The 24525-nt window shown below is 40.9% G+C and overlaps 1 protein-coding gene and 1 pseudogene across 1 annotated transcript, besides 1 other annotated feature; both read right to left on the bottom strand.

Moving 5' to 3' along the window:
- Window positions 87-16808, bottom strand: CSTA (cystatin A). The gene is made up of 3 exons (NM_005213.4): window positions 16698-16808; window positions 4408-4509; window positions 87-617 (listed from the first exon to the last, which is right to left on the bottom strand). Exons 1-3 carry the CDS (start codon window positions 16761-16763, stop codon window positions 489-491), a joined length of 297 nt encoding a protein of 98 aa, NP_005204.1. The 5' UTR covers window positions 16764-16808; the 3' UTR covers window positions 87-488.
- Window positions 19293-19342: an enhancer, noted in NCBI's record as "active region_20366". NCBI's record gives its function as "activates an Ori minimal core promoter by ATAC-STARR-seq in GM12878 lymphoblastoid cells {active_cell/tissue: GM12878}" and the evidence as "EXISTENCE:reporter gene assay evidence [ECO:0000049][PMID:35858748]".
- Window positions 23153-24525, bottom strand: HNRNPA1P23 (heterogeneous nuclear ribonucleoprotein A1 pseudogene 23; annotated as a pseudogene).

The following is a 24525-nucleotide window of genomic DNA, read 5'->3' as shown; positions in this document are numbered from 1 at the left end:
TAGCCTGGGTGACAGAACGAGACTCTGTCTCAAAAAAAAAAAAAAAAAAAAAGTATATATATACACACACACACACACACACACACTTTGTAAAATACTTGATTTAATTTTGAAGTATGAGGGTAGAGATGGAATGTTGGGTTATCAGCAGCCACAGGGAACAAGGAGGCTGGTGAATTGATAGTCCACGATCCAGCCTGCCTATGGTGGGGGTGAGGGTGGTACTATCCTTTAGCCAGTTGCATTAGGCTTGACTAGTTTTTATAAGATTTCCAATTGCCATCAATTTATATGGAGTTTATACTCTAAAGCAATAACACTGATTTTGAGAAAGAAAAGGTAATTTCTGCTTAATACAATAAATGAGAAATAATTGAAGAAATAATTTCTTTGGAAAAGAATGCTTCTTTATTGATGGTTATATTTATCAGCAAGGATCATGACTCAGTAGCCAGTTGAAGGAATCAGAACACTTTGGGTACATGCTGCTAAAAGCCCGTCAGCTCGTCATCCTTGTTTTTGTCAACCTGGTATCCAGTAAGTACCAAGTCCTCATTTTGTCCGGGAAGACTTTTGAATACTTTCAAGTGCATATATTTATTATCACCTGCTCGTACCTGAAAAATATTAAAGAAAGAGAAAGCAAAAGGAGATTCATTCAAATGGGTCTACATCAAGTGAGAGAGCCACAGGTCTACAAAGACTTCTGTCCAAAAAGCTGCTGAGGAACAGCATTGCTAGACCTAGTCCACCATTCTTAGACTCTTTGTATTCATAAATCCACCACCTTATTTTAGGAGAAAAAGAGCAGACTAGGCTGGGTGCCGTGGCTCCCACCTGTAATCCTAGCACTTTGGGAGGCTGAGGCAGGGGGATCACGAGGTCAGGAGTTCAAGACAAGCCTGGCCAGCATGGTGAAATCCCGTCTCTACTAAAAATACAAAAAATTAGCCGGGCATGGTGGTGCATGCCTGTAATCCCAGCTACTCTAGAGGCTGAGGCAGGAGAATCACTTGAACCCAGGAGGAGAAGGTTGCAGTGAGCCGAGATCATGCCACTGTACTCCAGCCTGGGTGATAGAGCAAGAGTTTGTCTTAAAAAAAAAAAAAAATTGTAGACTAATGGCATGGCAAGAGGCATAGGTCCTAGGTTTATTTTGTTATTTTTTTTAGTATAATCTGGGCACAAAGGACAGCATTTTATTTTCAAAGATGCATGGAGCAAGAAAACAAGTGATAGCCTATATTTTTGGTGATACTGTTTTCTGACTCTCAACTTGGGACACTTTGTTTGCCATACAGTCTGATAAGGGAGAAGAAAATCAGAATTGCCCTAGAAAATTTGGGATGCAGGGTTCCCATACCTATATCAGAACCTACTTTATAAACACCCACTGGTAGGATTGAGCAGAGCCCAGGGGGCGGACACCCTCCCTTCTAAAGTGAAGGGGCCAGCCGGGCACTGTGGCTCACGCCTATAATCCCAGCACTTTGGGAGGCCAAGGTGGGTGGATCACCTGAGGTCAGGAGTTTGAGACAAACCTGGCCAACATGGTGAAATCTGGTCTCTACTAAAAATACAAAATTAGCTGGGTGTGGTGGTGCACATCTGTAATCCCAGCTACTTGGGAGGCTGAAGCAGGAGAATCGCTTGAATCCGGGAGGTGGAGGTCGCAGAGAGCCGAGATTGTGCCACTGCACTCCAGCCTGAGTGACAGAGTGAAACTCCGTCTCAAAAAAGAAAAGAAAAAAAAAAGCTAAGGGGTTTTACTAGGAAGTCATTGGTAGGAAGGTTGAAGCAGAAGCAGTAGTTTGGACATGAATCTGAGACCTGGAAAATTATGGTAAGAATTTTTACTTTGGTTCTTGCTGGAGACAATAAATGCTTTGTCTTATACAAATATTTATTGTGCTTCTGATGTCACTTCCTATCCTAATTTTAACAAATGCCATATATCAAATGTTTACTGTGAGCCAGACACTATGATGAACATTTTATATAAATGATTATATTAACCTATATTATAGGCCTGAAGAAAAGTGGAGCAATGAAATTTTTACAGACGTGGAAGCAGAGTAGGAGAGATTAAGTGATTTTCCATAAATCTCTCAGCTAGTCAGTGGCACAGCCAATATTCAAACCCAGATCTGTTAGCCTCTAGCATCTACATTCTTTTCACTCTACAATGTAACATTTTTGGGGGGTACTGATCGGGGAATGAGGCCTGGCTCACAGTGCAGTGGTGCGATCGCAGCTCACTGCAACCTCAAACTCCTCGGCTCAAGTGATCCTCCTACCTCAGCTTCCCAAGTAGCTAGGACTACTGGTGTGCATCACCATGCCTAGGTAATTAAAACATTTTCTTTGTAGAGGCAGGGTCTTGCTATGTTGCCCAGAATGATCTCAAACTCCTGGCTTCAAGCTATCCTCCCACCTTGGCCTCCCAAAGTGTTCGGATTACAGGTATAAGCCACCACACCAGGCCAGTGTAACCTTGTAAAAGCTCTTATTTTGTGCTTTATATTAGAGGCAGCACAGCCAGTAGTTAAGCTCAGTCTATCTGGGTTCAAATCCTGACTCTGCTCTTGTAGTTGTGTGATCTTTTTAGTTTCTTCACCACCCTGGAACTCAGTTTTTTCGTTGGTAACCCAAGAGAAGTGATTGTACTTATCTCATAGATTTGTTGTGAGGATTAAATGAGATAAGCCCTGTTCTTAGAATAGTGCATAGTGAATTATAAGTGCTCAATAAATTTCCAGCTTATTTATTCCTCACAACACGCTGCGAAGTAGATTATTACCCTCATTGTGCAGATAAGGGAATGAAGGCTCAGAGAGGAGGAGGAGCTTCCCATAGAACAAATTGAACAAGGGTTCAAACCCAGGACACTCTGACACCTAAGCTTGTGGTCCTTCCATTCTACCACCTACCTCTTGATAGGTACTTGAAATACATAGAGAAGGTCACATCACTGGCAAGACCTTAAATCTAGAGTGCCTCAGAGCAAAGGGATCAACAGCCAGACTACCAGGAAGTAAAAGGGAACTGGGATCGGTGGCTGAGATCCAGTAGGAAAAGTTTGATAGCAGAAGGAAGAAAAGATGAGAGAGAGAGAGGAGACTGATTAAGAGAGGGCAAAAGGGTGGTCAAGGGAACAAATTTTCAAGCAGAAATTTTCAAGATAGTTATCTGATGAACTGTTGAAGAAACATGTGAGCTGGTAATATGTGAAATTTATGCATTTGAATTAATCATAAATTATTAAATATGTTAATGTTGATGGAATGTTTCCTATCTTTGCACATAATCATTTTTAACTGGAAAACTTTCTTTTCCAGCCATGAAGAAAGCAGATTGAGAATGGAGGAAATGGTGCCATTGTTTTCTGAGGATACAGCAGGGTCCTCTTTCACATGTGTCTCCCCGGGACCTGGTCGTTACTAGGAGCTCACATTTGGCAGAACAGGGCTGATCTGTGTACATAGCTCTGTACTGAAACTTTCTTATGCTGAGCTGACTAGCTCCACTTACTTCACTTACTTTTTTTTTTTTTTTTGCTGAAAAAATCTTTTAAAATGTTTATATTTTAATAGAAATATTTGTTAAAGAGAAATAAGCCACACTGTGCCCTGGTCAAATAGTGAAGTAAAGATTAAGTAAATATACTTGAATATTTGTTTTTATTTTTAAAATCAGCATTATCATCTTCTTAATATATAAGGACAAACATGGCTCTCAAATATTCATGGTTGACTTGTTCAACTGGTTTCCTCTTGATAACTTCAATTAGAACTCGATCAATGCATTGTGTAATTTTTTGACAGAGCTATAAAATTAACTTTTAAACTATTTTAAATACTCCACTCTTTTAAACTATGCCTAGAGTGCCACAAGTTAAATCTAATTTGAGTTACAAAATAGTATTTACATTATATTAATTGAAGGGCAAAAAAGGTTTAAATTATTTTCCCAGCTAATGATTTGAGTCGTTACTTTAATTTATTTAATTTAGACATAGAGAATCATACAGCTTTGAGGTAGAATCAGCTTCAAGATACCATGTGGTCCAGCCCCACACCTTCAGGCAGATGAGACGTGATCCTCCCTCCTTACCTAAGCAGCAGCACAGCCACAAATCCAGCATGCCCTGAACTGTTATGAAATCTTTTTCTATACAATTTCCAGAAATCAAGAATCAATGTAATAAAACTTTCTGAATTCACAAGAAAAAAAATGGTGTCACATCATCTACCAAATTTGAGAGTCCACCACTTGGAAGGAATCATGCTGGGCATCTTAATTTAGGACAACCGTAAGGAAGGAATTATGTGGTAGGGAAATCAGGGAATATTTTACATAAAATGAGAAATACATCTTTTGGCGCTAAAGTAGGTGCTGAACTCTAACCTTAATGTAGTAATTTGTTCCAGCAACAACTTGAGTTTTATACTGCACAGCTTCCAATTTTCCGTAAGTCTCATTTGTTTTTTCTTCAAGCTGTGGTTTAACCTAAAGAAAAGAAAAGAGGAAACAAATAATCAAAGCTATATTAGACTCCATGTATGCAATGTACCCATCTGGGAACCTCATCCTCCTAAAAGTCTTCAAAGATGGTAATGAAATCTATGAACTATTTTTATTATTTCAATAGAAAACACCTGTTTTAATACAATTACATAGGTTAAAAAGTCAAATTTTGTTGCTTTAGGCTGAATTCACATCAACTCAGTGTGGTAATGCAATATAGGAGCGTTTTGACTGCTAAAACTCTAAGAGTTATATGTATCTTTGATTAATAAAAATCAGTGGAGCAATAATTACTACTTGATTAAAACATTATTTTAAAATGATTTCAGACTTAAAAGTTGTAAAATTAGTATAATGAATTCTCTTATATCATTTACAGTTCCCTTAATTTTGCCGTTTTACATAACATAGTATAATCACCAAAATGAGGAAATTAACATGGTATAATACTATTAAGTAGTCTCTAAACCTTATCAGAATTTTGCCAGTTTTCCTGAAAATGTCTCTTTTCTGCTCCAGGATCTCATGCAGGATCCTACATTGCATTTAGTTGTCATTTCTCCTCAGTCTCCTACAATCTGGGTTCATTCCTTTTTGTTCATGGCCTTGATGTTTTTGAAGAATACTGGCCTGTTAAATGGTAGAATGTCTCTCAATTTAGGTTTGTGTGATCTCCTCTTATGTTAGTATTATACATGTTTGTAAGGATAGCACAAACGTGATGTTGTGCTTAAGTGCATCCTATCAGGAGCTACGTTTCATTACTGGTGATGTTAATTTTGATCACTTAGGATGTCTGCCAGGTTTCTCCACGGTAAAGTTACCATTTTTTTCCCCTTTGTAATTAGTAAGTGTCTTGTGAGGAGTCTTGTTTCTCGCCATACTTTCATACATGAATTTTAGCATCCATTGATGGTTCTTGCCTACAACAATGATTAATTGTGGTGTTGGCCAAATGGTAATTAAAAAATCATTTCTTGTGCATTTATTATCTGGAATTCTGCCATAAGGAAGAGCTGTTCCCTCTCTCCTCTTTATGTAGTCAATTACTTATTTTATATTAATATGACTCATGGATATTTCTTTTACTCTGTGGATTACAATTCATTACTCTATTTTGTTACTCAAATGCCCTAGATTTGGCCGTTGGGAGCTCCTTCACCTGATGCCTGTGTTCTTTCAACATGCCTCCATCATTTTATAAGCACTTCCTTACTTTCTGACTCTACAAAAGTAGAGTCAGATGTTCCAGGTTTATCTTGAAGTTTCCTTGCCTCCTCACTGGAATCAACTATTTCTCCAAGGAGTCCCTGCTCCTTTTATTGGAGAACGGTATTTAAGACCCAAGATTTGGGTGCTGTGTCTCTTGTTACTAAATGTCATTGCTTCTAGGCCCACTCAGTGGAAAGGGCTACAAAATAATATGTGTACTCACACATGCACACATCTTTACGCATTTGTGTATGTGTGTGCATATATACACACATTTATCTGTGTGTCATTATATATATACATTATATATGTGTGTGTACGTGTGTGTGTGTGTGTGTGTGTGTGTGTGTGTGTGTGTATTCCTCTGATTAAAATCAAATACCACGGCCGGGTGTGGTGGCTCATGCCTGTAATCCCAGCACTTTGGGAGGCAGAGGCGGGTGGATCACTTGAGGTCAGGAGTTTGAGACCAGTGTGACCAACATGATGAAACCCCGTCTCTACTAAAAATACAAAAATTAGCTGGGCGCAATGGTGGGTGTCTGTAATTCCAGCTACTCAGGAGGCTGAGGCAGGAGAATTGCTTGAACCTGGGAGGCGGAGGTTGCAGTGAGCCGAGATCACACCATTGCACTCCAGCCTGGGCAACAAGAGTGAAACTCTGCCTCAAAATACATAAATAAATAAATAAATAAATAAATAATAAAATAAATCAAATACCACAGGACTCATTTAGCTTTTCCCTTTTCCTTATTATAACTCCTTTCTCAAACACTGAGGAAGAATCCTGGTTCTTATTATTTGCAATGTATTCGCCTATTTTCTCAGTTCTAGCATATACATAAAATAATTTCAGAATTGTTGACCTATACCCCTGTGGAAAACAATATACTAACTAGAGTGCAGTATTTGGGTATAATTCTTATAAAGACCCTGTGATTGCATGGGCTTACCTGGATAATCCAGGATAACCTCTCCATCTCCAGAGCCTTAACTTAATCACACCTGCAAAGTCTCTTTTGCTGTGTAAAGGAACCTAGTCACAGGTTCCAGGGATTAGGACATGGACATCTTTGGAGGGCCATCATTCTGTCTACCATGGAGGGATATGGGTTGGGTTTAAATGTCAGCATTCCCGAACCCAGCATGAGAAGGGAGACAGTCCCAAATTCAATATGTAAACTTTTACTGAGCCCATCAACTTTCTGTACAGTGCTTCATTCCCACTCTCAGCTGGGCCTGATATGCAAGAGTCTACTATGAGCTCTTGACTCAGTTCCTGCTAAGTGTAAAGCTCGTCTTCTGCCGGGGTGGAGGACAGTGAGGGAGAAGGAACTATGGGAGGTCTCACTGTCCTTCATACAGATCAGTCCTCTTGCTTTTGGTCTGAGACCTTACTCCTGGCTACGACTTTTTGGTGTTGCTCATGCCTGCGCCATTGTGACGTTCTGCAGTGTGAATCTGCTTGCTTCTGGCTTAGACTTTCCCCTCTATGGGCTTAGCTTCTGTTTAGACTGCTCAGCATTTTCCATTGTTCATCTGTTTTCCAACTTCCAAAATTTTATTGGTATTTCTGAGGTGGTACTTGCCTATCTCCTGTTGTCTTTATGTCTGTGGATTTGTCCTTCAACCCCAATTCTTTTCTGTCTTTTGGAGGAAAAAGGATATAACTCTCTGTGTTGAATGTACCTTGTTTATTGAGAACTTGCTTTTATGCCCTTCATGAAAGCATTGCATGTCCATACAACTTCAATCAGGCCTCCAGTCCATCTAGGATTCTCCCAAGGCAGTCCTTCCTATCAGTGGGCAGGTTTTTTTTGTTTTTTGTTTTTTTAAATTTAAGAGACAGAATCTCCCCCTCACCCAGGCTGGAGTGCAGTGGCGTGATCATAGTTCACTGCAGCCTCGAATTCCCGGACTCAAACAATCCTCCCTGGGCAGATGTTTTGAACCTTTACTACTGATGCCTCAGTTTGAGTACCAGAACTGTTTTCAAAGATGTAGACATATGCAAACTGTGAGTTCTCAGACCATTTCTGAAAGGCCAAACACTCCACGGACCACCACTCAGTTCTCCTGTAACCTTGAGAATAGACGGGAAAAGTGTGATTGTTCTGTTGAGATGGAAATGAAATTTCAAAGTGGAGAAAGGGAGAAGACAAATAGTGAGGACAAACCAGAAGTGGGAAGAGCTAGGGGCAGGAGAGCGGAGAAAGGATGCACAGAGAAGTAGAGTAAGGAAACAGGTTATTGTCTTAGGGTCCCTTTCCAAAGCCTTTCAAAATTCCAAAGGAGGGATGGCCAGTACTTGGCACCAGTCAAGTTAGGAGCTGAGTTTGAAAGAGTTAATCTCTACACTAACCCCCAAAGTATCCATTTAAACCTCATTTTATGAATGGAGAATGTAAGGCTATGAGTTGAGCATGACTGCTTAAAGTTGAAAAATTATTCAACATAGTTATTTTAAAGTCCTTGCATGATAACTTATATATCTGATCTGTGTTCCTTCTGCTTTTCAGTCATGTTTCTTTTTAAGCACGTATCCTAAGCCAACCAGCCTTTCTTTTCTTTTCTTTCTTTCTCTTTCTTTCTTTCTCTTTCTTTCTTTTTCTTTCTTTCTCTCTCTCTTTCTTTCTTCTTTCTTTCTTCCTTTTTTCTTCCTTTCCTTTCCTTTTCCTTCCTTCCTTTCCTTTCCTTTTCCTTCCTTCCTCTCTCTCTCTTTCTTCTTTCTTTCTTTCTTTCTTTCTTTCTTTCTTTCTTTCTTTCTTTCTTTCTTCTTTCTTTTCTTTCTTTCTTCTCTCTCTCTTTCATGGAGTCTTGCTCTGTCACCTAGGCTGGAGTGTAGTGGCACAATCTCAGCTCACTACAACCTCTCCCTCCTGGGTTTAAGCAATTCTCCTGCCTCAGCCTCATGAGTAGCTGGGACTACAGGCATCTGCCACCACTCCCAGCTAATTTTTTATATTTTTGGAGAGATGGAGTTTCACCATGTTTGCCAGGCTGGTCTCAAACTCCTGGCCTCAGGTGATCCACCCACCTTGGTCTCCCAAAGTGCTGGGATTACAGGGGTGAGCCCCCATGCCTGGCCCTAAGTTTTTATTTCTATCTGTCCTAGAAATATATCCAAATCTTTAACTTTTCCATCGTATCTGTGTAATCCACAAATGCAGAATTTTCCATGAGAGAGGGGATTTAAAAGATCTGGTTTGTTTCTTGAAGTGTTCTGGCACCTGTCAGACTGTGGACCTTGATTTCTGGTTCACTCTACTTGTAACTTGCAGCCTCCCTCCCTCTTCCCAGTAAAATAGATTTGCATGGTTTAATGTTAGATGACATGGACCTGAGTGATGAGATTTGAGCTGAGGAGCAGGGAAAGGGGCAGAGTAGGGGAGCTTGTCAGTGAAACTTAAGTCTCAGAAGGTAGCTTGGTGCTGAAAGACTCCCCAGGATGGGCACTAGGAGGATGCAGGCCAGCTGGGAACGGTGGTGGGAGACTGGCGGTGAACGGACACATCTCCTGCTGAATGCAGTTGGCCTTCACCTTTCTCAGTCTGCCACGCGTGATGGTGACGGGAGCTCAAGGAATACAGTGGAGGTTTGTCGCTTGGTCTCCAGCCGGGGAGGAGGCTACCAGGGAGAAGCACCTGGTATAATGCATTTAACCCAGAGTTCTTCAAGCATTTCTCATTGCTACTGAGCATGAATCTTGGTGAGGTGTTTATTCTCTGAGATCTGAGGATTTGAGCCATGAGGCACCCAACACTCAGGCTTTTCCCCTAATCTGTAGTCATTCTACAGAAACAATAGGACTGTGCCTAATTTAATAGAAAATAGATAGAAAGATATTGATGGCAAAGTGGATGAATTACATTTGGGGGAGATTTAGAGAGTAAGGAAGGAGAGTTTGAATAGTAACATGAAAGGACAGTAGGGCCAGTAAGATGTGACTTGTGGACATTTATTGTCTAAGTATGTTTTGAAGGAAGAAGGAAGTATGGGACAAGGCATTGAGGATGCAAGAAATGAAGTCACCTGGCTAAGAGAGGAAGGACTGGCTGAAGAGAGGAGAATAGAGTCTAGGGAGGAATGAGATCCAGCAAGAGATAGGGTCAGCTGGGGCATTTTCTTACCAGAGATCTGCAATCTCCTAAGACAGGTGTTCCCAACCCCTGGGCTGCAGACCAGTACCCATCCATGGCCTGTTAGGAATCGGGCTGCACAGCAGGAGGGGAGCAGTGGGCCAGTGAGCATTATGGCCTGAGCTCCGCCTCCTGTCAGATTAGCGGCAGCATTAGATTCTCATAGGAGTGGGAACCCTATTGTGAACTGCATGCAAAGGATCAAGGTTGCGTGCTCCTTATGAGAAAATAATGCCTGATGATCTGAGGTGGAACAGCTTCATCCCAAAACTATCCCCTCCACCCCATCTGTGGAAAAATTGCCTTCCACAAAGGTACCAAAAAGGTTGGGGACAGCTGGCCTAAGAAGAGTAGGAACTGAGACATCCTGCTGGAGGGACCATGGGGGTGGGAGGCAATGAACAACTGAAGAGAGATTTACATTTGTGGGGTTTCTAGAAAAAGACCAACAAATATGACTGCAAGAATGTTCTGGCAGCCCTGGGTCCTGTCCGGGTTGTTAAGCATTAATCCACAGGTTTGTAATGGTGAGTTTTCTGTGGTTCTGCACCTCGCTTTGGCAAAGTTCTTTGATTCTGGAACAGTAGTAGCTGCATAGAAAGTGGTGGCAGTGGGTGTGACCTTTAATTGAGAATTAGAATGTCAGGAGCTCCCAGGGTCAAGGAAATCATCATGAGTGGAGGAGTATTTGAAGCTACCCTCCTGTCATGGGGTCCAGGCTGGATGAGAGACTCAGTGGGCCTGGGCATGTTCTCATGAAGTTGGGAAGGTAGGTGCCTGAAGGATTCTGGTGTGGCTGAATGACAGGTTCTTTGGGTGTGGGACAGTGGGAGAGGCGACTAATAAGGAGGCTGTGGTCAGAGAGGGGAATGCAAATTTGTGGATGGGGTGAGAGCCATGACATGCTAAGTTCCAGGGTGTGCCCAGGATGGTATGCAGATGAAGTGTTTGTGCGGTGTCCTGACTGACAAAAATCATGTTCTGTGTGTTGGCCAGGAATAGTATTCAGCAATTAGGTTTATGACTAAGGGGAGTGTGTGTGTGTGTGTGTGTGTGTGTGTGTGTGTGTGTGTTTGTTGTGTGCATGCACATTGCATGTATAGTAGCCCTTACCTCTAAAAACAATTAAATAACATTTCTTTCCTTCTCATAAATATGCTCACAATTCTCATCAAAATGCTTATTAACATATTATATAAGATAATGGATCAGCAATAATGATCCGGAGGCTTTTGCTGTTGGGCCATTCATTTATTTGGTTCTTCGTTATACAGATTGTGGCTTTTCATGAATGGGCCTGTGTATGGCTCTGTCTTTCTGGATGTGTCCCTCTTAGCTCCATTCTATTTTATTAATTTCCCAAAGGGCAGGCACTATTTTATGTCCCTGCTACCCCCATAGCAATTCACACAGTTCTGTCTACCTAATCAATGTTTTCTGAATGAAAAGACCACAGTTGTTTTCCATCCTGACAACTTGTCTCCCCAAATAGGAAAGATGAGTATAGCAATGACATCAGCTAATACGGAGAATCTTGGAAGAGGGTTTTCTTCCAAGTGTACTTTAGTACATGGTGCTACAATGACATGTTCAGTCTCTGTTATCTTCAGAATGGGAAAACTCATTTCTCCTGCCTTCAAAAACATTCAAGTTTTCTCAATTGCCATCCCTTGTTTGCCTTTCTTTTCTTTCTGCCCTCATCCAATATTCCTCTTTCACTGTGATATCAAATTCCTTGGTCATGCAGTTATCATTTGTCTTTGACACTCTTCCCTTTTCTATGTGATGATCTTTTTCTTCCTTCTTTCTCTCCTTCTAATGGGGTTCTTCAGTTGGCCTTCCACTAAGAAGCTCTCTGAGAAGTCCAAGGAAAGCTGATAAACTTCAGCTCCTCTGAGAATACTTCCACTTTAACAGGTGATTTTAAAAAACAGAGATACATTCAAAAATAAAAAATAATAAAACTAGCAAGTAAGTGACAGGTAGTGGAGATTGTCCCTAAATTACTAGCATCTATCCATTTTCCCTATTCCTGCATGGGGACCTAACTGTAATTTTGGAGAAGGAATTGACTCAAGTTTCTCACCTATAAAGCGGTTATAATAATACCTGCCTCTTGGGGCTGTTTGTAGGGGCATAAATGATATAATTGACGTGAAAGTGCTTCCTAAACTACAAAGAGTTTTCCAACTCTTCCTCTACCTTCTAACACTGAATTGGAAATTGTGCCCTAAGGCTCACTCCTGCAAGAGAGGGCAGATAAGTGATAATTGGGGCTTTAACACCAGAGGAGCTGAACTGCCTCACAGTAATTATTCACCTGAAAGGAAGGAGGTTTGACCAGCAATCTCTAACATCTTTTCTGGTCCAAAACCTGTGATTATAAAAAAAGCACTTAATTGGATATTGTTTTATATTATGTTCCAGATATCTCGATTTTCCCAACTACCCTGTAAACTCCTAGAGGCCAGGGGCCATATCTTATAGACCTCATGTAGCTTCTATAATAATTAGCATAATGCTAGACACCTAGGAGATATACAAGAAATGCACCTACTATGAAATGATTCAGTGATATTCATTTCCTGTATTTATTTATTTATTTATTTTTTGAAACAGAGTCTCGCTTTGTTGGCCAGGCTGGAGTGCAGTGGCGTGATCATGGCTCACTGCATCCTCAACTTCCTGAGTGCAAGTGATTCTCTCACCTAAGCCTCCCAAGTAGCTGGGACTACAGGCGTGTACTACCTGGCTATTTTTTTGTATTTTGGAGGGGGTAGAGACAGGGTTTTGTCATGATGCCCTTGAACCACCCAGATCAAGCAATCTGCCCGCTTCTGCCTTCTAAAGTGCTGGGATTACAGCCGAGAGCCACCGCACCAGTCCTTCTAAGGAGTAAAAAATTTTATTTTGGCTGGGCGCGGTGGCTCACGCCTGTAATCCCAGCACTTTGGGAGGCCAAGGCGGGTGGATCATGAGGTCAGGAGATCGAGACCATCCTGGCTAACATGGTGAAACCCCGTCTCTACTAAAAAATACAAAAAATTAGCCAGGCATGGTGGCGGGCGCCTGTAGTCCCACCTACTCGGGGGGCTGAGGCAGGAGAATGGCGTGAACCCGGGAGGCGGAGCTTGCAGTGAGCCGAGACCGTGCCACCGCACTCCAGCCTGGGCGACAGAGCGAGATTCCGTCAAAAAAAAAATTAAATTTTAAATTTTTAATTTTTTTTTACTTTTTGAAATGGAGTCTCGCTCTGTCATCCAGGCTGGAGTGCAGTGGCACAGTCTCGGCTCACTCCAACCTCCACCTCCTGAGCTCAAGCAATTCTCCTGCCTCAGCCTCCTGAGTAGCTGGGACTACAGGCGCCCGTCACCACGCCCAGCTAATTTTCTAGTTTTAGTAGAAAACTAGAAAGTAGAAAGCTATGTTGGCCAGGCTGGTCTTGAACTCTTGACCTCAGGTGATCCGCCTGCCTTGGCCTCCTATATGGACTTAACTGTGAGGCTGGTGCTTCCACTGAGAAGACAAACTTACCACACTCTCTCCATTCAGTGTATTTCCGTTTCCTAACAAAGCTCCTCTGTGTTCTGCCACTGTGTGGTAGAGAGGGCAGGCAGTCAAACACTGGGGGTGAGCTAACTTCTTAACTAGGTGACTCTTTTTTTTTTTTTTTTTTTTGAGATGGAATCTTGTTCTGTGGCCCAGGCTGGAGTGCAATGTCATGATCTTGGCTCACTGTGGCCTCCGCCTCCCGGGTTCAAGTGATTCTCCTGCCTCAGCCTCTGGGTAGCTGGGATTACAGGCACCTGCCACCACGCCGGGCTAATTTTTGTATTTTTAGTAGAGACAGGGTTTCACCATGTTGGCCAGGCTGGTCTCGAACTCCTGACCTCATGTGATCTGCCCGCCTCAGCCTTCCAAAGTGCTGGGATTACAGGCTTGAGCCACCATGCCCAGTTTAATTAAGTGACTCTTAATCTCTTTGAATCTTGGTTTCATCATCTGCAAGATAGACACAATATCTTCCCTGCCTGCTCCAGGGGTTATGAAGATGAAATCAGAGCTCGAATGGAGGTCAAGCTTTTAAAAACTGCAAAACCCCTTTCTGGGGTGAGGTAGCTGTTCTTAATACTTATCTCTCATTCTACCTCTCTGATGACATTGGAGCCAAAGGGAAGCAGCTTCCTCCCTGCCACACACACACTTTCAAATTAATTTTATAATTTAAGATGGGGCTCACAGATAGGTGTTATTAGCAATGCAAGGCCTTCTGGTAGCTTCTTATTTTAAAAATTAATAATTCTTGCTAATCGAGTGATAGATTTTTTTAAAAATCATTAAAATTTTCTGTACTGTCTCTATTTCAAATTTATTTTTCCCTATGTTCCTACAGCTCTGTTCCTTAGAGAGTCTCAGGGGGATTTTTTTAGGGTCAGGGATGCTTTCAGCCACAAATTTGAAGTAAACAATTGTGATACCTCACCTATGCACATTTCTTTTTCATTTTCAAGTCATTTTTATGCACATTATCTCACTTAGTCCTTACAGCTCTGACATAGGTAGGGCAAGAGGTGTTACCTTCATTTTTCAAATGAAATAGACAAATTTTATTTTGGCACCCTGACTTTTTTTTTTTTTTTTTTTTTTTTGAGACGGAGTCTCACTCTGTTGCCCAGGCTGGAGTGCAGTGGTGCAATCTCGGCTCACTGCAAACTCCACCTCCCGGGTTCACGCCATTCTCCTGCCTCAGCCTCCCGAGTAGCTGGGACTACAGGCGCCCGCCACCACGCCAAGCTGATTTTTGTATTTTTTAGTAGAGACGGGGTTTCACTGTGTTAGCCAGGATGGTCTTGATCTCCTGACCTCGTGATCCACCCGCCTCGGCCTCCCAAAGTGCTGGGATTACAGGTGTGAGCCACTGCGCCTGGCCCTTTTTTTTTTTGAGACAGAGTCTTGCTCTGTTGCCCAGACTGGGGTGCAGGCACTATCTTGGCTCACTGCACCTTCTGCATCCTGGGCTCAAGTAATTCTCCTGCCTCAGCCTCCTGAGTAGTTGGGATTACAGGCACCCACCACCATGCTCGGCTAATTTTTGTATTTTTAGTAGAGATGGGGTTTCACCATGTTGGCCAGGCTGGTCTCGAACTGCTGACCTTGTGATCCACCTGCCTCAGCCTCCCAAAGTGCTGGGATTACAGGCATGAGCCACTGAGCCCAGCCTGCACCCTGACTTTTAAAGCCCCATCTCCCACTGGCCTTGTAGGATGCCATATATCTCTGGTCCTGCCAGCAAGCAAGGCCATGGGTGGCAGCAGCAGCAGCACTTGGGAGTCTGGTAGAAATGCAGAATCTCAGACCTACCCCAGGTCCCCTGAATCAGAATCTAAGGTTTATCAAGACGTGCAGGTGATTCATGTGCACATTCAAGTTTGAGAACATTGATCTGATCTGGGGATTCACATGAAGACATTACTGACTTAATATCATCTCCCAGGAAAAAAGCTCCAAGATATTTATTTAAAAAAAGAACTCTTGAAAGAGAAATAATTAGTCCCCAAGAATGAGTGATGGGATTCTAGGCATCTGGCCCCTTAGAGAGCTTTCTAGTTCCCAGAATATACAGGATCCCAACTCTTATAATCACACAAAAAGCTGATCTTGTTTTCCAAGCTGTCATAGAATGATGTTTCAGAGAGAAAAAATAAGAAGGAATAATATAAGAAAATAAGGCAACAAACTAAAAACCTAAAGTAGTAATTTGTACATGTTTTCCTTTCATAAAATATGCAAATAAATGTTTACTACATAGCTAGATGATAGCTAATCACACAAAGAAAAATATATCAGGGATGGGTGTGGTGGCTCACGCCTGTAATCCCAATACTTTGGGAAGCCTAGGTGAGTGGATGGCTTGAGCCCAGGAATTCAAGACCAGTCTAGCAACAGAATGAAATGCCATCTCTAAAAACAAAACAAAACAAAACCCCCCAAATCAGCCAGGCGTGGTGGCATATGTCTGTAATCCCAGCTACTCAGGAGGCTGAGTGGGGAGGATCGCTTGAACTCAAAAAGTTGAGGCTACAGTGAGCCGTGATCAGACCATTGCACTCCAGCCTGGGTGACAGAGTGAGACCCCATCTCTTAAAAATGAAACAAAACAAAACAAAAAAGAAGAAGTGAAAAACACATCAATCTGCTAACAACATTGAGTTCTATTTTTCCATATATAATTTGGTGCCCTATGACATTTCGGAGTCACTATAGACTGTCACCTCTGTTCTATTAGTTGAATTACCTTTTAACTATGAAAAGACTAAAACACTATCTATTTGGGCAAAAGTGTATGAAGTTTGTAAGTAGATTGCCTTTACAATATTATTCTTCATTCAATCTATTTAAAAAAATTTTCCCTGCAGTGCATTCCAAGACTACTTCATCAAATTGTTAATAACCTTAGACTTCAATTACACGTTGGCTTCACTTGGTGAGATTAGAAAAGTTTCATCAGAAACTGAATTAGTAATTCTAGAATCATATCTTGTAAGAGCTTTAGAGAAGATACAATACAAATTCTTTTACCCATGGAGAAAATGAAGCTCAGAGAAGAAATGTGATTTGCTCAAGGTCACACTCACAGTTTGGGGATTATTTGAGGCTTCATCTGAAAAACTCTTATTTCATCTTAGTTGTAAAGAAACCTGAACAAAGCCACAAACATCCTAAACTTCTGGTTTTCATGTTCAACCACAGCCTTTCCACAGGGACAACTTATGAATCAAGATTTTGGCTCAGACTTTTTCCTGAATGGCATCAACTCACCTTATCAACAATCTCCTGGATTTCTGGAGTGGCGGGTTTGGCCTCAGATAAGCCTCCAGGTATCATTTTGGCTGATTGCTTCTTTGCTGGACAGGATGCTGGAACCAAAGTGAACAGGGAAGTGTGGAGACTCGTGTTTTAAAAGAGGCGTTCACTAGCTCCGCCTATAGAATGCTTTATTTTCCACAAACAGCAAAGAGGCATGGGGAAAATGAGTATGCCGCCAGGCAAGTCTTCTTGCTTCCTGGAGAGAATATGCTACATGGAATTTGGAAGAAAGAGGGGTTGGAGGATGAACAAATGGGCAAGTACAGGAGTCATGTCCTAACAAGCATCAAACGTCCCTGCATTCTCTTTGACAATGGTTCCATCCTGTTGCATCATCTGAATTATGAAATCTGAAGCCGCAACTAGAATTTCCAAATGTTTTAAAACTTCTAACACAAAATTTTATTTTTTTTAAAGCAAAACTTACTAATAATGTCAAGGTTAGTTTAGAATTTACTTGACTTTAGAAAGAAAGCAAAAGGATCTATCTGGAGGACCTTGGCTGGATGTGTCTTCTTTACTCTTATTTAAATATCTGGAAATGTTTAACATACGGTAAAACACAAAGAATAAAATAACAAACATCTATATTTCTATCACTCAGAATTAAAACTTTTAACCCTTTTGTCATATTTGCTTGCTGTTTTTTATTTTTGTAGTTATTTTTAGGAAATAAAATATTACAGATATGGAGGAAGCCCCACACCCCACGCAACCTTGCCTTCCAGAAGGCAAAGTACATGGTGAATTAATATCCTTCCAGGCCATTTTTATATGTGTGTCTTTAAAATTAAAATATGTCTTACTTGGTGTGTCTTTAAAATTTCACTTAAATTGTATGCTAAATATATTCTATGTTATGTTCCTTTTTCTATTCAACATGTTTTTGAGCCTTTCTATGTTGATATACACATAGATCAATCCACAGATAGATCAATCCTGTTCATTTCCTTTAACTGTGATATGCTATTTTATGCTAGACCTATCTATTTAGTCTACCTATCTAATTGCTATATTCTAGTTCATATTTTACATACTCATTTCTCTATTGATGACGATTTTCGTTGTTTCTGGTGTTTCATTCTTACAAACAACGTTGCATTTTTTCTCCTTTTTACATGAGTGAGGGCTTCTGCAGACAACTTATCTAGAAGCAAAATGGCCACATTGTGTGAATATTTATGTATATTATTTTATTCAATTTTGGGAATATATAATACATACACAGGATAAAAATGTTTGGAAGGAACCAGGCTTTACAATATAAGGAATTATTCACTCACTTAATTCCTCAGACACCCTTCTACTCTCCAGAGACAATTATTGGCACCAACTTCTTCTGTATCCTTCAGAGACATTCTTTACACATACAAATATAAAAATAATTGGAGGCTGGGCACGGTGACTCACGCCTGTGATCCCAGCACTTTGGGAAGCCGAGGTGGGTGGATCACAAGGTCAAGAGATTGAGACCATCCTGGCCAACATGGTGAAACCCCATCTCTACTAAAAATACAAAAATTAGCTGGGCGTGGTTGCGTGCGCCTGTAGTCCCAGCTGCTCAGGAGGCTGAGGCAGGACAATCGCTTGAACCTGGGAGGCAGAGGTTGCAGTGAGCCAAGATCGCGCCACTGCACTCCAGCCTGGTGACAGAGCAATACTGTGTCTCAAAAAAAAAAAAAAAAAAAAAATTGGCTACACACACACGCACACACACACATAGATACATATTCATCTATATAGGTTTTCTTTTATAAAAATGGTATCCTACATAAATTATTATACTTTTTGTTTTATTCCTAACAATATATTTTGGAGACTGTTCTATATCACAATACAGGGAGGTGCTTGTTTCTTTATAATGATGTTTGGTGGGTGCTTGGCAAACTCTTGGAGCTAAGTGAGTGTCTTACAGGCTAAACTAAGGGGTGCTACACAAGTATCTCTCCATAGAATGCCTTTACCCTGTGGATTAAGAAGAACAGCGAATGTGGATGACAAGGTGCTCCCTCAAGAGGCCACAGGTCATCTGAAGACTTTGGCTCAGCTTTCATAGGCCACTGGTTCTACTCATCTTCATGTGACCTCCCCAAGTCAAGTCCTTTCATATTAAGGCCCCTGACGTTTTTCCAAGCCTGAAGCCCATTTTTAGTTGTCTGCTGACATCCTAGTCCAGGCCATCCTTATTGAATCTCCCCAGTGGTAAGAGATATGGTAAACCACAAGTCTACCCTTCTCTTTCTAGGGTCTATGCCCTGTACTTTCAGCTTTTTCCTATTGATTCTCAATAATTTATTTTAGAAGTAAAAACTTCCCCAAAGCAAATATTGCTTTTGTGTTTTGTATTCCTCCTATAACAATCCTAGTTCTTCTCAAGAGTAGTATGTGTGCCTCTGATTGACAGGGAAAGAGTCGCACACAAGGAAGTGCAAAAGAGAAAAGCACAATTCATATCTCTGTATTAATTGTTTACTTAAGTTAAACAAACAGTTGATTAAATACACATTTATTTTAAAGGTACCTTTAAGATTGCTTTTTGGATTTTTTGGTATGAATTATGCAGACTGTGTTTCTGGAGCTAGATATCCTCATATATTTCATATTTCTTGTCTGTGAGCTCATCTGCCACAGGAGTTATCTTTTATGTGAGTTTTCTCTTTTGTGGCTGGTTTGTGGGGCTTTCCTATGGGGTGGTTTCCGCTACCAGGTCCTAGGAGGTACACAAGCCCCAGCCCAGTTCTTACTTTACTGTTGGCTTAGAGCTCTTGCACCATAAAGATACTGAGAATTTGGGCTTGTCTCCAGCTTTAGTTACAGGCCTGGGCTCTGAACTTCCCCAGCTAATTGCGCTTCTACCCATTGCCAGGAGTAGATGTGTGGATGCATACACTTACCATGCAACCCACCGTTCCTACTGCTAGCTATTTCCCCAGGAGAAATGAAATATGTCTGCACAAAGACTGGCATATGAATGCTAACAGCTGCATTATTCATAATGATTCAAAACCGAAGAAAACTCCTTGTCCATCAACTGGTGAATGGTAAGAATAGTTGTGGTAGAGTCACAGTATAGAATACTACTTAACAATAAAAAGGAACAAAATAGTAATACATTAAATCACATAGGTAAACCTCAAAAACAAGACAATGTAAGAAGAAGTGAAAGAAAGCAAACACAGGAGGCCATGGACTATATTATTCCATTTAGATGAGACCTTAGAAGAGGCAAAATTATAGTGACAAAAAGGAGATCAGAGGTTGCTTGAGGCTGAGGTGAGGGATGGAATGCACTGTAAAGGGGCGCAAGAAAACGTCTTAGGGAGATGGAATTGTTCTATACATGGATTGCGATAGTGGCTACACAACAGTATATGATTACCAAACTTCATCAGATTGTGCACTTAAAGTGGGTGGTCTTGTTTCCACACCAAAAAAATAAAAAAATAAAAAAGTGGGTGGACTTTATCATATGTAAGTTACACCCCCAAAAAGCTAGAATATAAAAGCACTGCCTTTTGAATGCCTTCTTTGTGTGTCTCTTGGTCTCGCTGTTATACTTCTTCCTCTAATGTTTTTCATTAGAGTCTTAACTCCTACTGCACCAATACAGTGCTTTAAAAATGACTGTGAAGGCCCTATTTGAAGTGTGTGTTCAAGGGAGGACATAGTTATTCCTCCTGGCTATCCTTGTGGTGAAGAGGGAAAGTGGGGGGCAGGGTTGACTGAGGACAGGTCATGAAAAACAGGTGAACGATCTTACACTTTAGTTGTTAGGTAATGGAGGTCACTGAAAAGTCAGAGCTATAGAGAAGCCATTTGTGCTTTAGGAAGATAAAACTGGAGGCAATGTGTAGACTGGTATATTAGGAAAACACGAACTAACTCCCTCTCTTCTACTAAACCCTCAACACTCAACATGCTCTGGCCATCATAGTGCATGGAAGCTGAATCCCTGTACCCGCATTGTTGTCTGGCTTCCTGGCTTGAGAAAAGCAGAGTTTCTGTTCCATGTTGAGGAGGGGAGAGACAGTGCAGCCAGCGGGATGGCAGGAGAGCAGCCCATACTCCATGGCGAGACCCCTGCTGCGACGCCAAGCCTGCAAAAAACTAACTGGACTTGCTAAAAGCTTAGCATGAGGGTATTTATTTTTTTCAGGGTCAAGGAAGAGCACACTAAGTTCATGCCTGAATCACTGTGGAGCAAAACAGAGTGATCAGAAGAGAATCAAGAGAGCCAGACCTTAGAGATCAGCCAAACTCTTGGGGAGGCCTAGGGTTTCCCTTCTCTAAACTGGAGGACGAGGTAATTCTACCCACATATTTGTGGCTGGGGACTTCCTAGTTCTTATTTGGGTTACACGTATTTTAGGAGTCCAGGTGGAATTTCTTTTCCTTTTTGAAAACTGAGGCATAATTTATGCATAGTAAAATGCACGAATTTTAAGTGCACAGCTACATAATATGTTCCCACATTTTTTACAATTGTTATATATAGAACATTCCATCACCCCAGAAAGTTCTCTCCCATCACTACAATGTGCTCAACCACTAGTTTTGCCTGTTTTTAAATTTCATATAAGTGGAAGTATGATGTAGGTGCTCTTTGTTTCATCTGCTTAGCATAATGTTTTTGATATTCATCCATGTTATCAGATTTATTAGTAGTTTGTTCTTTTTTATTGCTGTGTAGTATTCCAGTGTAATAACATGCTATGTTTGTTTCTTCAGTCTCCTGCTGATAGCATTTGGATTGATACTAGTTTTTGGCTATTAATAAATCTGCTATCAACAAGTCATTAGTCTATATATCTAGGAGTGGAAATTTTGGGACAAGGGCAAAGTGTATGTTGAACTTTATTAGAAACTACCACTTTCCAATGTGGTTGTATCATTTTACACTCCATCAGCAATTCATAGGAGTTCTAGTTGCTCCATTCTCTCCAACACTTGATATTATCAGTCTTTTAAATTTTAACTACTTAATTTTAACCATTCTTGTGGGTATACAGTATATCGTCCGGTGGTTTTAATTTGCATTTCTCTGAAGAGTAATAATTTTTAGCCCATTTTCATGTGTTTATTGACCATTTGGATTTTTTAAAATGAAATCCCTATTCAAGTCTTTTGCACCCCACCTTTTCCATATTGAAAAAGTTCTTTATATATTCTGGATGTGAGTTCTTTGTCAGATTATACATATATATATATATTTCAGAGTATATATTACATATATATATATAATATTTTCTCTCAGTCTGTAGCTTGCCTAATATTTTCTCTCAGTCTGAAGCTTACCTTTTTAATTTCATAATGAGTGTTTTTTGATGAACAGAAATTTCTAATTATGATGATGTCCATTTCTTTCCTTCATGGTTATTGCCTCTGATATGTTTTGCCTGCCTTAGGGTTCAGGAACATATTTCCTATATTTTCTCTTAGATACTTTATGGTTTTAGCTTTTACATTTAAATGTATGACCCATCTCAGATTTATTTCTGTATGGTGTATATGGTGTGAGGTAGGGACTAGGGGATTCAAGTTTCTTCTGTCTTTTCTTACAGATAGCTAGTTGCTGCAACATTACTTACTGGAAAAAAACAACAATAATCCTTTCTTTCACACTGAATTTTTTCAATGCCTTTGTTGAAAATGTTTATTTTATACAAAAATTTATTTTCAACAAAGGCATATGCACTTAGTATTATCAAGTGCCTTTCCCCTCCAAAGCCTGATAAGCCAAGAGAAAGGGGAAACAGGCAGTACACTTCAGGTATCATTCCAAGGAAGTCTAGATTCACAGAAAGGCATGTGGAAGCATATGTTATATGGTTGTTACATTTGTCTTTCCTTGCCCTTAAGAACAATATTCCTATTTTGTACAGATGCACCTTGACTTATGATGGGTTATGTCCTGATAAACCCATCATAAGTCAAAAATATCATAAATCAAATATGCATTTAATGCCCTCAATAAGCCCATTGTAAAGTCAAAAAATTGTAAGTTAAACCACTGTAAGTCCACATGTTCCTGAACTTAAAATGAGGTTATGTCCTGATAAACCCATCCCATAAATCAAAAATATAAGTCAAAAATGCATTTAATACTCTGATAAACCCATCTTAAAGTTGAAAAAGCTCAAGTTGAACCACTGTAAGTTGGCGACTATCTTCTTCTTCTTTTTTTCTTTTCTTCTTCTTCTTCTTCTTCGGCACATTTATTCAGCATCATGATTGGACTATTATACTTAGCAATCAACAGCATGGGTGTAACAATAAATGGATTAATTAAGAAATGGACATTAAAACCTTTTGTTGGAATGCTTTCTACTTTCCACAGAACAGAAACTAGAATAACCTGCTATACAATTAGTCACAAATACACTCCTCGAGGTTTTTTTTTGCCGATGCACATGAGTATTGTCTAAAATATGCCTTCTTTGTAGCAGCTAGGCCCTGCCACCACTATGCTTGGCTAAGCTCACAAATCTATTGTAACCTGTAAGCTCCCTGTCACTTCTCTGGCTCTCCTCTCCTGCTAAGCTGTGTTTTCTGGCAGGAATTGAAGTCTTCTGCCATTGCCATAGCTACTGCTGTTGCTGGAGCTGCCATAGCCACCTTGGTTTTGTGGTTTGGCAAAGTATTGGTCTCCACCACCATAGAGATTCTGCCTCCAAAGTTCCCTCCCTTCATGAGTCCAAATTTTAAGATTGATTGTTGTTTTTTCAGAAATAACTGTAGCTTCCACCCCCTCCCAAATTGCTTCCACTCTCACCACCAAAGTCACTTACGCCTACTCCATTGTTATAGCTGTCATGGCTGCCACCCCCATCATAGCCACTGCCCTGGTTTCCAGAATCCTGTCCACCACTTCCGTAGCCTCTGCTTCCTCCAGAGTAACTAGGGCTGCCTCCTTCATAACCACTATCACTACCAAATCCATTATAGCCATCCTTATTGCCACCATATCCACCATCACCACAGCTGCCACCAAAGGCACCATAACACTGAAGTTTCCTCCGTGACCAAAGTTGTCATTCCCACCAAAACCACCTCCATGACCACCACCAAAGTTTCCAGAACCACTGCAGCCTCTTTGGCTGAACAAAAAACTAGCCATCTCTTGCTACTACAGGGCTTTCTTTACTTCACAGTGGTGGCCATTCACAGTATGGTATTTCTGAATGACAGTCTTATCTACGGAGCCATGATTACAAAAACAAAGTCCCTCTTTTTGCCAAAGGTTACAAAAGCAACGCCCCTCTTTTTGCCACTGTCTCGTCCAGTCATGATTTCAATCACTTCAATTCTTCCCATACTCTTCAAAATAATCTCTTAGGTGATGTTCTTCAGTGTCTTCTTTAATGCCACCAACAAATATCTTTTTCAGAGTTAAGTGGGCACCTAGTCTCTGAGAATCTTCTCTTGAGACAGCTCTCTTTGGTTCCACAACTCTTCCATCCTCCTTGTGTGGCCTTGCATTCATGGCTGCATCTACCTCCTCCATAAGGGCATATGTGACAAACCCAAAGCCCCTGGAGTGTTTGGTGTTGGGATCTCTTATTACCACACAGTTGGTGTGTGGTAATTGTCCCCATTGCTCAGAACGGCTCTTCAGAGTCTCGTCGGTTGTTTCAAAGCTCAACTCTCAGATGAAGAGCGTCTGCAGCTGTTTGGGTTCTTTAGGAGACTCTGACTTAGACATGACAGCAGTGGGAAGAGAGACTTTATGCTTCTTCGGCGGTGTCCATTGGCATAAAAGACTTAGCTAATGGATGAATCT

The sequence above is a fragment of the Homo sapiens genome, chromosome 3, assembly GCF_000001405.40.
Source record: "Homo sapiens chromosome 3, GRCh38.p14 Primary Assembly".
Lineage (NCBI taxonomy): Eukaryota > Metazoa > Chordata > Mammalia > Primates > Hominidae > Homo > Homo sapiens.
This window is presented reverse-complemented; position numbering and strand designations above follow the sequence as displayed.